This window comes from Homo sapiens, chromosome 2 (assembly GCF_000001405.40).
Source record: "Homo sapiens chromosome 2, GRCh38.p14 Primary Assembly".
Taxonomy (NCBI): domain Eukaryota; kingdom Metazoa; phylum Chordata; class Mammalia; order Primates; family Hominidae; genus Homo; species Homo sapiens.
In genome coordinates this window covers 164943742-164955885 of record NC_000002.12, presented here as the reverse complement: position 1 = coordinate 164955885, position 12144 = coordinate 164943742, and the positions used below count along the sequence as shown (strand labels likewise).

At 37.0% G+C, this 12144-nt stretch overlaps 1 protein-coding gene across 6 annotated transcripts in view; it reads left to right on the top strand.

Annotated features, from left to right (window-relative positions):
- The first annotated feature begins 360 nt into the window (after positions 1–360).
- SLC38A11 (solute carrier family 38 member 11) overlaps positions 361–12144 on the top strand; it is a 61172-nt gene continuing 49388 nt past the window's right edge. The window contains exons 1-6 of one of the 6 annotated variants that reach the window (NM_001351538.2): positions 361–677; positions 1141–1255; positions 2654–2744; positions 3105–3179; positions 10159–10293; positions 11252–11317. In NM_001351538.2, the coding sequence (NP_001338467.1) occupies positions 3119–3179; positions 10159–10293; positions 11252–11317 (262 nt within the window). In that variant the 5' untranslated portion in view covers positions 361–677; positions 1141–1255; positions 2654–2744; positions 3105–3118. The remainder of the gene's footprint in view (positions 678–1140; positions 1256–2653; positions 2745–3104; positions 3180–10158; positions 10294–11251; positions 11318–12144) is intronic. The other 5 variants (NM_001351537.2, NM_001199148.2, NM_173512.3 and 2 more) reach the window with 5 other exon arrangements.

Genomic DNA, 12144 nt, shown 5'->3' with positions numbered 1-12144 from the left:
TTGTTTTGCTATTCATTTTCTTATGAGTCTTTCCATTTCCATTTACAATAAAAGTCCCAAATTTTCACTCGTCGTCTCTGCCATTGAAGAGGGGTAGCGAGGAGGAGGTGCTAATAGGGAAGATGGCCCATGGGCCCAAGGGTGCTTCTGCGTTCTTACCTGGGCTTCAGACCCCAGCAAAGGAGAAGCTAACTTAGGAACGGACTGCAACGAGGCGGTCATAACTCTGTGAGATCGGGGCAGGGCAGCGTGGGTGGAACAAGTTGTCCTCTGCAGCTCCAGGGAAGAGTAGCTCTCCCTGTTCTCTCAGGGAGGCGGGGGTGTGAAGGGGGGAGGCGGGGAGACAGGGCTGCCCGGATCAGAAACATCCTGCAGCATCTCCGTCTCCGGAGGAAAAATACATTTGTCTGGGCGAACTCCGGTGGAAAAGCGCCCCAGGCTGCCACAGCCTAGAGATCTTGGGGCTGCAGCCCTCGCGGCCTGCCGAGGGAGCAGGGGGCGCCCGTGGAACTGGCTCCCTGCAGCTCTGCGGCTACACGCGGACCTCGGCTGTGTGCGAGGTGGCGGAGGAGGCTGGCCGGGTGCGAATCCGTACCCAGCCCCAGCATCTTCCACCTGCTGAGGACCACCGCTCAGCCATGGGCTACCAGAGGCAGGAGCCTGTCATCCCGCCGCAGGTAAAACTAGCGACTAGGCAGGTTCTGAAGCCAGTTGTCCGGAAATTTCATTCACCTTGCAACAGGTCAGGTCACCTACCTTCACCTGGGCTCTTGGTTTAGCACCGCGAAAAGTTCTCTGGGACAAAAAGTTTTGCCTTAATCTGACTTTTTTTTTTTTTTTTCTTAGCAGGCACTTTAATTTCACAAAATCACATCACTGAATTCCTAACAGATCCTGTACTTAGCAGCTGGGGCAGCTGTAATCTGGAAATTTTAGGATGGAGTTTGCTTACCAAGCTCTGTTGAATTACTAGCTGTTATTGTTATTCTTTATTACTGTTATCCCGGCATTTATTTTATTTTCATTAGTGACATTACTTATTATTACTAGAAAATCGTGTTAGTATCCTGCATTACATATTTGTTACTTTTCTAATTTTCTGAACTAGTATTTGCTTATAATTGCTATTTTATCTATTAGAGAGATTTAGATGACAGAGAAACCCTTGTTTCTGAACATGAGTATAAAGAGAAAACCTGTCAGTCTGCTGCTCTTTTTAATGTTGTCAACTCGATTATAGGATCTGGTATAATAGGTAAGTGTATTTGCTTTGGTTTAAATTTTAAGTGAAAGGGCAAAATTTAAGACTCGCTACGCTGCTAGTGTTCATTAATTATTTTTAAAGAAAAAAAGACTTAAATAAGAAAATTGGTAATTTTCTTCCATAAAAGGCTTCCTTTTTTTCTAGTGTAACAGTATGTATGCATGTCTTTTATGCTGAAGATGGGGCTGTAATTCACACTGTTTCCACAGTTGAGAGCATCTTCCACATGTGGTAGATTAAGGTGAAACTGCATATGGGTGGTGGTGAATCATTTTTCTGTAGGCTGCGTGGTTGATTGCTAGTGTTACCGAATGTACTTTTTCCACTTACTGAAGGGTCCATCATTATTTGAATCATCTTTCTTTAACTTTCTAGAAGTATAAAACTTCCAGATATTTGTAAATGTTGGAGGTGAAAAGTTTAATATGAAAACATACCAATCTTATGAAAAATTAAATTCATACATTCTTTACCTATCTATACAGTGTTAAATTTTAAAGTACAAAATTATTACAATATATTAATTTTAAATATTATTTAGTCAACAATGCAAATTTGTTCATTGAAAATGCGTATTATTTTCCTAATAAAGGAGCCATACAATCAGAATTAAAATAAATAAATAGCTCAGATTTTTCCATTGTATTAGAAGCAAGGGAAATTTACTGAAAAAAGTTAAAAGTGCATTGCATTATAGTAATAAAAGCAGCTATATTTTCAGTGGTTATTATTCTTTTTGGTATCTGAAAACACTCTATCTCAGAAAAGACAAGAAGAAAACAAAATCCTGCAAAATGCAATACTTTTTGAGAATACAATGTTTTATAAAGTTGCAACATTTTTGTTTCTGTCATCACCTTCTGAAAATTAAACATTTATCTGGATTGAGTTACTTTTCTTACTCTTGAATTACTTTTCTTACTTTTCACAAGTTAATATGGTTCTTGATTTTACATTTTTCTATGGATAGTCTTTTTTTTTTCTCCAAATGATACATAAAATGGAGTTACCTGAGGTAAAGTAGAAGGAAACAGGGACAAAGACTTGTTTACAATTCTACCTCCATGTACCATGAAGGTATGAGCAGCTGTACTTAGAAGAATTCTAGAGCTAATTCCTGATGTGAACGTGTTAAGTTAAGCCGTGTCAGCAATGCTAAACAGTACCACTGCTCAGCAGCTTGTTTTCTTTTCTTTAAGGGAAAACTTTTCAGAGAATAAAAATTTTGACTGGAAATACGTTAACTGTGTTTGTTTTAAATATTTTATTGTCCATAATCTAAAGTTGTCAATTTCCCCCAAAATTATAAGAAATAATTTATGTACCCCTTTGAGCATTATAAAAAATACTTTCGCCTTCTCATTTTTCTCTCATTTTTTTCCTACATAGTAGCCCCATTTTGACTCCAGAGTCTGTCTTTCTTAATATTCCATAACCCTTCTGTGCTCCTTATTATCCTCTCTGCTTTCTTGGCTAGCAGGTAAGGAAGGATTTGAGGTAATGACTTTCCACATATTGCAGGGCTATGTCACTCTTACCCTGAAGTAAACGTTATTTGTGTGAACTGGCATTTGTTTTTCATTTGCTGCTTTCTAATTCTTATTCCGTCACCTCAGAAACTTGCTCTCTTAACTTGTCCCTAAGCTAATAACATTTTATTCTGAAATAAGTATTAATACCTAACATTTAATATTAATTCTGTCCTATGTGCAACTTACAAATACGTCATATAAGTATATAAATTGACTTTACCTATTATATGCAGAAATTGAAGGGGGGAATTTCTGTGTTTCTAGCTTTCTTGTTAATGTGAAGGGTGGGGCATTTTATGTTTTTTCAGGATTGCCTTATTCAATGAAGCAAGCTGGGTTTCCTTTGGGAATATTGCTTTTATTCTGGGTTTCATATGTTACAGGTAAAATACTATATAATTTCTTATTTCTGCAACTTCAACTGTGCAATAACTACACACATACACACACACACACACACATGCTGCAACTGAATTTCCTAGTTAATTAAAAAGTGCATCAAAGAATCCTAAAGAATTTAAGCATTTATGCCTGAGGAGATTTACTTTTCTTACTAATCCTTTAAACAGATTAGAAAAAGTAGAAAAGCATTATATATTACCAAGCCTAAATCCTTTTCATGTGCCTTTTTCACTTTTTGCAGAAAGTAGTAGATGGGGAAGTCATTTTAAAGCTTCATTAAGGCTAAGAGACGACTGTGCTCTGAAAGTGCAGATAGCAGGGCTTCGTGGGCAGGTGCGTGTGAATGAGCAACCTTATTCAGCTGTTGTTTGTGGAGGTAGAAATGAAGCTCTGGTGATCAACCAGCAGGGCTCATCAAGCCTCTCCGCCTGGCTTATGCCTGCCCAAACTCGCTGCCTGCTACTGTCTTTAAATGCAGCAATAAGTTGCTTCTGTATCACATCTTCTCTTCTGCTTCCCCTTCTTCATGTAAATAGTTCATTCACACCCACGTTTTGTCACTCTCCCATTTAAATGCAGGCTTTACAACTCATAATCATCTCCTCTTTTTGTTGTCCTCGTCCCCGCCTTGTCATCCCACCATCTCACCTTATGACAAACATGGCGTCTCCTCTACCTTAGGATCACTGTGAAAGAGGTGGTGGCAATGATCAAAAACAGACACCACTCACAGGAGTTGCTGCTGTGGTGGATTAGATGCCCTTTTACCAGCTAGTGCAAAACACCTCAGCTGCCCTTTGCTCTGGAGTGTTGCCCTGGGCCTCCAGGGGGTCTCCTTGCCTCCACGGGGACCAATGTGTGGTACAGTTGGAGCTCCAGGGCTCCACCACTGCAGTACTTGCTGAACTCTTTCCCCTGCCCTGTCCTCTCATTCCCCTTCTTCTGGAGCATTTCATCCACAGACCCCTTGCCCAAGAATGTCTGTCTCAGCTCTGCTTCTAGAGATCCTCCAAGATGCCATCCCTCGTAAAACCTCAGGCTTCCAAGACCTGCCCAACACTCAGCTATTTTTTCTCAGGCTGACGAAGACAGAGTAAAGCATGAAATAGTTTTCAAATTCAAAGCTAGAGAGGCATTGAGCTCCCTGCCTTCTTCCTACCACCTCCACCCTTAAGACCTAAACTGCTTCTAGTTATTACAGCTCTTAATTTGTAACTTAAGACCCATAAATTAGCAGCATGAGACCTAAGTGTGCTTATTAAGAGTTGCTGGTGTTTAAAAATTGCAGTCTACTTATTGGGGCATTTATTACACTAAAAAAAAAAATTTCATTCAAGGATTTGTCCCTGTCATTCTTAAATTTCCTGTTTCCCATCAGCACTGACAAATAATTGATTTCCACCATAATCACTATGGTTTATTTAAGTGCATTGTAAACATTTACATACATTGTAAACAGGTAGGTAGAAAACATTTAAAAGTATGCATACAAGTTCAGGACTTGATGAGAATGAACAGTATACTAAAGCCAAGTCGTATTATACATAAATAAACTATAATGTGAATAACTTTTTCAACTAATGCCATATATAAACCTATAACAATAACTGTGAGAAGTCCTTTGCAAATTCACATATTGCAAATTTACTTATTAGTGGAAATTACTAACTCATAAATTTACTTGCATGATCCAAATTCTTAAATAACTGATAAATAAAGGATGACCACATAAAAGTGAAAAAAAATATAGGCTGATTCATTTTTTTTCTTAATTAGACTTTTAAGAGCAAAATCTACATGTAGGGTATAATGTTGAATTTTTCTTTAGATTGGAGCTATAATTAATCAGTGGTTTGCCTCTAGAATTATTATTTTGCCTTTTAAGGCCACTAATGAGGTATGTTCAGTTCAACAGCAAGTTTTTCTAAGTTCTGTTTTCATGTTATGAAATGTTGGGGAACAAAAAGAATTATAAAAATTTACAGCAAATAATTCTAATTTGCTTTAAGATTTTCAAATTTGTTGATTAACATAAAATAATTTTTATTGTCTGAGCATACAAAATTATTTAAAAGAAAATTCTTTTGTTAAGTAACAGATTCATTCATGAATTTTTAAAAAGGTTGCATACAATATATTCAAAGGGAGATCAAAATATTATAGTGATTAATACCTAAGATACCTAAAACTTTTAAGGGAATATATTTGTAGCCTGTATTTTATAAGCAAATGAAAGCATTTACATTTATTATTGACTAAATTCTTAACACATCTTTACCTTTAAGTGATCATTGTGAACTTTTATAAAATGCTCAGTGTTCTCATCCCAACCATACCCTTCTTCAGCAAGCCTTCATACCATCTCTGAAATTGGTTGCCTCCTCTCTGTGACATAAGTATATAAATTGTATATAAATTATATGAGAATCAATGAGAATCAAGGAGGAGAATCAATGCCAACTCTGTTGCCAGTAACTTCAGACCTTGGCTAAGCCGTTTTAACCTACTGAAGTCCAAATTTTCTCCTCCAAAAAAGTAAAACATGAACACCTACCTCAAAAAGATTTCACGTTATGGCTGCATTATTCTCAGCATCTAGCTCTTTGATTCTCCTTGGCCAGTGACCTGCTGTTCAGTTTTCCTGCTTCCAGCATCTGTCTACTTTCTCATCAGTCCTCCATGCTGCTGCAAGTTATTTTTATAAAACTTCAGCCTGAACTCTATAAACTCCACAATCAAAACATTCCGAGACTCTGTAAGGACAACAACAACAACAACAACAAAATATTGCATTTAAATTCCTTCATAGTTTGGCTGCATTTTTAGTCTCATTCCAATTATTCTAACTGCTCTCTCACTCTGTGACCAACAGTCACATGCAGACGTTCTCAGCCATCATGGAGAATTCTGTTACCCAGGGAGAGAGAATAAGCTTTCACACCATCTTCCCATTGATAGTCCTCCTGCCTGACATTCCTTTTCTTCTCTACCTGGTGAAATCTTGTTCTTCCTTCAAGGCATTATTCAACTTTTTTGTGAAGCAGTTCCTAATTTTAAGCAAAGGAAGTAGAATTTATTGATATCTCCTTTGTGTTTGCAGGATATTTTAAAATCTGTTAATACTTCTTAGGACTGGGCACGGTGGTTCACCCCTGTAATCCCAGCACTTTGAGAGGCCGAGGCACGTGGATCACTTGAGGTCAGAAATTCGAGACCAGCCTGGCCAATAGGGTGAAACCCTGTCTCTACTAAAAATACAAAAATTAACTGGATGTGGTGGCTTGTGTCTGTAGTCTCAGCTACTCAGGAAGCTGAAGCGGCTGAGGCAGGAGAATCGCTTGAACCCAGGAGGCAGAGGTTGCAGTGAGCTGAGATTTCACCACTCCACTCCAGCCTGGGCAACAGAGCGAGACTCAGTCTCAACAATAAATAAATTAATTAATTAAATTAAATAAATAAAAATATATTTATTAGGTCATTTATCACATTAAATTAGAATCCGATGGGTAAACATATAGCAATCCTGCTATAGTGATCATTGATTTATTCAGCAAATATATACCGATCACCAGTATGCCAGCTATAGCAATGAGGAACATTATCCCTGCCTTTTTGAAGGTCACAATATAGTGTGTCAAGCAGAAAAAAAAAATAATTATACCACTTTATAAAAAATACCATAATAAAAATATGTACATGATGACAGAGACTGGCATTTAACCTAGCCTCAAAAGAGCAGGAATGTTCTAGGGAGGAGGAGATACTTCCTCTGAGTATTTATGAAAAAAAAAAAAAAAAAGTGAGTTAGCAGAGAAAATGGAAGCAGATGGAAATGTGGGAATGCAAAATGCAACTGAACAAGTGATTTAGTCTGGCTAAAGTGTAGGGTTGGTGTTTGCAAATGGAGAGAGGGGAAGTTGGAGAGGTTTGCAAAGGCAGATAGGAAGCCTCTCATGTAATGATAATCATTACCACTTCCTGAGCTAGATGCTGAGCATAATGCAGTCGTAATGTGAAATCTTTCTGAGGTAGGTGTTCATGTTTTACTTTTTTGGAGGAGAAAATTGAGACTTCAGTAGGTTAAAATGACTTAGGCAAGGTCTGAAGTTACTGGCAATAGAGTTGGGATTTTAATTAAGCTCATGGATTCTGAGGCCAGACTACTACGGCATAAGTCCTGATTCTTTTAATACTTCTGTAGAGATCTATTTACTTAACCTTCATGCCTCACTTTTCTCATCTGTTAAATGGGCATGATAACCAGCACCTACCTCTGGTTGTTGTGAAGATTAAAAATAATTAGTATTTGTAAAGTATTTGGAAAAAGACCTACCACACAGAAAAGCATTGTGTAAGCATTTGCTAGTAGTTTGTGGTTGTTATCATTATTATCTGACTCCAAATACAATACTTTTCCCACTGTCACGTGCAGCTTGTCAAAAATAAGTAGAAATAGCGTTAGTTCCCACTCAGCTTCTATAAGACAGTAGGCATTGTGGTGGACATTAAACACCATAATCCTCACACCACTCTTCAAGGGTGCCATATTGCCTTACTTTACAGATGAGCTCAAATCTTTCACCCAAAGTCACACAGCTAATAAATAATTTTTATCCAAATGCATTAATGGGTCTCCCTGAAATATTTTAAGCAGAAGGCAAAATTAGATTTATGATAATCAATGGCCAGATCCACCTGGTGGAGGGAGAATGTTGAGAATGTCTTGGTAGGAAGGAGAAATCAAAGGTGTCTTTGTTGGGGGCCAGATTGGTGGGTAAAAGAACTATTAGGGGGTTATTGCAGTACTCCAGACAAGAAATTATGAAGGCCAAAGCTCTACCATAAGGCAAGTTAAGATTACAAATTAGGGGCTACATTTGAATATTTCTGATGCAATAGTTAATAGACTTAGTAACCACAGGAATATAGAAAGTAATGAAATAATTTAATGATTAATAAGATAAGTCTGGGGAAATTCTCAAGTTTCTGTTGATACTAATTACAGATTGGAGAAATATGGATAGAGAATCAAATTCCAGAACCAATAACCAAATTAGAATTTATATATTTTAAAATTAAGATGCCTATGAGATCTTCAAAGCAAAATATTTATTAGGCAGCTGGCTGTAGAAGTCTGAAGTTTTGAAGGGGGTCTGAGCTGGAAACACAAATTTAGAGGTTACTAACATCTAAATGAAAATTGCAACCACAGCATAAGTGAGATCACACTAGTACATCTTGAAGGGTGAGAAAAAAGGCCAGGCGCGGTAGCTTACGCCTGTAATCCCAGCAATTTGGGAGGCCTAGGCGGGTGGATCACTTGAGGTCAGGAGTTCGAGACCATCTTGGCCAACGTGGCAAAACCCCGTCTCTGCTAAAAATACAAAAATTAGCCAGGCATGGTGGTGGGCACCTGCAATCCCAACTGATCAGGAAGCTGAGGCAGGAAAATCATTTGAACCCAGGAGGCGGAAGTTGCAGTGAGCCAGGATGGCACCACTGCACTCCAATCTGGGCGACAGAGCAAGACTCTATCTCAAAAAAAAAAAAAAAAAAAAAAAAAAAAAAAAGAGATAAAAAAGTCCAAGAATCCAGGACTTGAGCAGAGTAAAAGAAACTGGTGAAAAATTGAGTATAAATGACCAAAACAGCAGGAAGAAAACCACAAGAAAGAGATGTCACAAAGGCCAAAGGAGAATGGTTGAGAATAAAAGGAATGATCAACAACGACAACGAGAAACAGTGTTCCGAAAGAGCAGATAAGAGTAAGATCTAGGAAGTATCAACTGGATTTATCAACTTGGAGAACATTGATGATCCTGTTGAAAGAAGTTTCACTGATATGGGAATCAGGGGGAAACCATATTGCAATGGCTTGCATTTTAATGCATTTCCATATTACTTAATGGATAAAAATGAGAAAGAGAAAAAAGAGAACAAGTATCTCACATTGTGTGTGTAGCTGTGTACCAAATAAAACTGCAGTGTCTTTCCGTAAAAACCATTGAGTTAAATGAAAACAATGAGGGCAACTGACTTTTCATTATATAATTTCTGTATATATCTATCTCTAACTTCAATTGAAGTTTCTTAAAATGCAAATTTTTTTTTTTTTTTTTTTTTGAGAGGGAGTCTCGCTGTGTTGCCAAGCTGGAGAGAAGTGGCAGAATCTCGGCTCACTGCAGCTTCTGCCTCCTGGATTTGAGCGATTCTCCTGCCTTAGCCTCCCAAGTAGCTGGGACTACAAGTGTGCGCCACCACACCTGCCTAATTTTTGTATTTTTAGTAGAGATGGGGTTTCACCACGTTGGCCGGGATGGCCTTGATCTCCTGACCTCGAGATCTGCCCACCTTGGCCTCCCAAAGTGCTGGGATTACAAGCGTGAGCCACTGCGCCGGCCAAAAATGTAAATTTCAACAGCAAAATTTCATAGAGTGTCTCTTTCTTAACCATAATAACTATAAAATAAAGTTACTAATTTTATTATATTATAAAACAAATTCTCTGACTCTCCTAAATGTATTGTTTTCTACATGCTACCACACCTTTAATTCTCAGTCTTCACACACTGAATACTTATGAAATATTTGATTACCTACATCCTATTCCTTGACAATTGAGCCTCAACCTGATAATATTTGCTGCATTGGTTACATCAGGAAAGTAAAATGGAACACTGGCAGTTTGACTCGAGTCTGTTTTCTTTTCTGTCCTGTTCTTTGCATGGGTATGTTAAGTATATATTTGCATCTTGATTGAAAAATATGTAACTGGAAACATTACTGTTTAATAAAAGGTAATGTTTTATGAAAAGAAAGTTAGCCTGGCTCTGCTAATACTGCAGCATTAAATTAAATGCTTCTTTAAAATTTCCCCTTTTCTCGATGGTAATTAAGTTAAAACATGAAAAATATTTGTATTACATGTAATCTGACATTTAATTGATGTTCTTGCCACAGACTTTTCCCTTGTTTTATTGATAAAAGGAGGGGCCCTCTCTGGAACAGATACCTACCAGTCTTTGGTCAATAAAACTTTCGGCTTTCCAGGGTATCTGCTCCTCTCTGTTCTTCAGTTTTTGTATCCTTTTATAGGTAAGTTGACTGTGAAGATAAATATTGCAATTATGTGCATAAGCATATGGTCATTTCTGAATAAAATACTTTTAATAGTCATTAAAGAATATCACTATAGCAGTTGAAATCTTTCCCAAATGAAATGTTTACTTCTTTAACCATTTTCTCCCTTATTTTCTGGTCCTTTTGATTTATTTTCTGACTATTTCTTTTAAATAAAATGAGGGTTATTTTCACTAGGTTAATGTTTGGGCTTTCTGTACTTGGTAAAAAATTGAATGACCTAGAATAAAGAGTGAACAAGAGAAATAACACATTTCTTATAAGGCTTAATACTTTAAAAAAAAAAAAAAAAGCAAAGGATTTGTGGAAGCCGTGTACTAGGCCAATGTGCTATTTAAAGTTTATACCATAATGGTGAGAATGTCACCTAGCACTTCTTAAAAAATGAAATGTTAATGTTCACTAATGGCCAAATTGACTTCATTTTTAAAAATCAGTACTATGGAAGGTATTGTTCAAACCACTAGTTCCATATGTCTCCACAGAAGGCTAAGAATATATTTCCCAAAAAAGTCTTACTTTTTTAATGGAGGGGATATATTAGTGTCTTCAAATTTTTCTATTATTATTCCTCACTTTATGCAGCACACGTGTTCCTGAAAAGGGGTTTGGAAACTGAACTTTAACAACAAAATAAATTGCATTTTTAATAACTACCAAAACTTGCTACTTAAAGGTATTCTGAGATGAATCAACTTGTAAAGAGAAAATCTTTTTTTAATACAAATTGATACTCTACCATAGATCTCTTGTCCAGTTATCTTTAAAGTTGTCCAAACTGGTAATCATAATATACATTTGAAGCAGTAGGATTATGCCAATATTTGGGAAGTAATAACTGATTGCTTTCAAAATATTTAGGATGAAATATGAGATGGCTTATTGATGACTCTTATTTTAATTATGTTTTTAGCAATGATAAGTTACAATATAATAGCTGGAGATACTTTGAGCAAAGTTTTTCAAAGAATCCCAGGAGGTAAGCCAAAATAAAAATTGTGAGGATTTAAATATATTTATTTTATATAGTTATTTATAGTTAACATGGTTCATAATTATAAATAAAAAATTTGAAAGTGAAATTATTGGATTACTTCAGGTATCTCACAATATCCATGATCCATTCTGATCTTAAAGTTTTGGTCTACTTTTATACATAATTTAGTTCTTATTTAGCTGTTTGAAAAAATGTTGTTACTATTTAAATACTTAGAATACTTTATATTTTAAATTTTTTATGCTTCATATCACCAGCTCTCTGGGCAAACATTTCTTCATGTACTATTTAAACTATGTGATTTCTTAAATAAGCAAGCAGACTATTTTCCCCATTATTTGTATTAAGGAATAATTTAATAGAGTAAAATTAACCCTTTAAAATCTGTATTCTGTGGCCAGGCATGGTGGCTCACGCCTATAATCCCAGCACTTTGGGAGGCAGAGAAGGGTGGATCGCTTGAGCTCAGGAGTTCAAGACTAGCCTGGGCAACATAGTGAAACCTCATCTCTACAAAAAGTACAGATATTAGCAGGACATGGTGCCTACACCTGTGGTCCCAGCTACTTGGGAGGCTGAGGTGGGAGGATCACTTAAGCCCAGGAGGTGGAGGCTGCAGTGAGCTGTGATCGTGCCACTGCCCTGCAGGTTGGGCAACAGAGTGAGACCCTGTCTCAAAAAAAATAAAAAACCAAGAAACTATATTCTGTGAGTTTTGACAAAGGCATATAGTCATATAAGCATGGCTGCAATCAAAATACAGAATGACAAGCCAGGCACAGTAGCATGTGCCTGTAGTCCCAGCTACT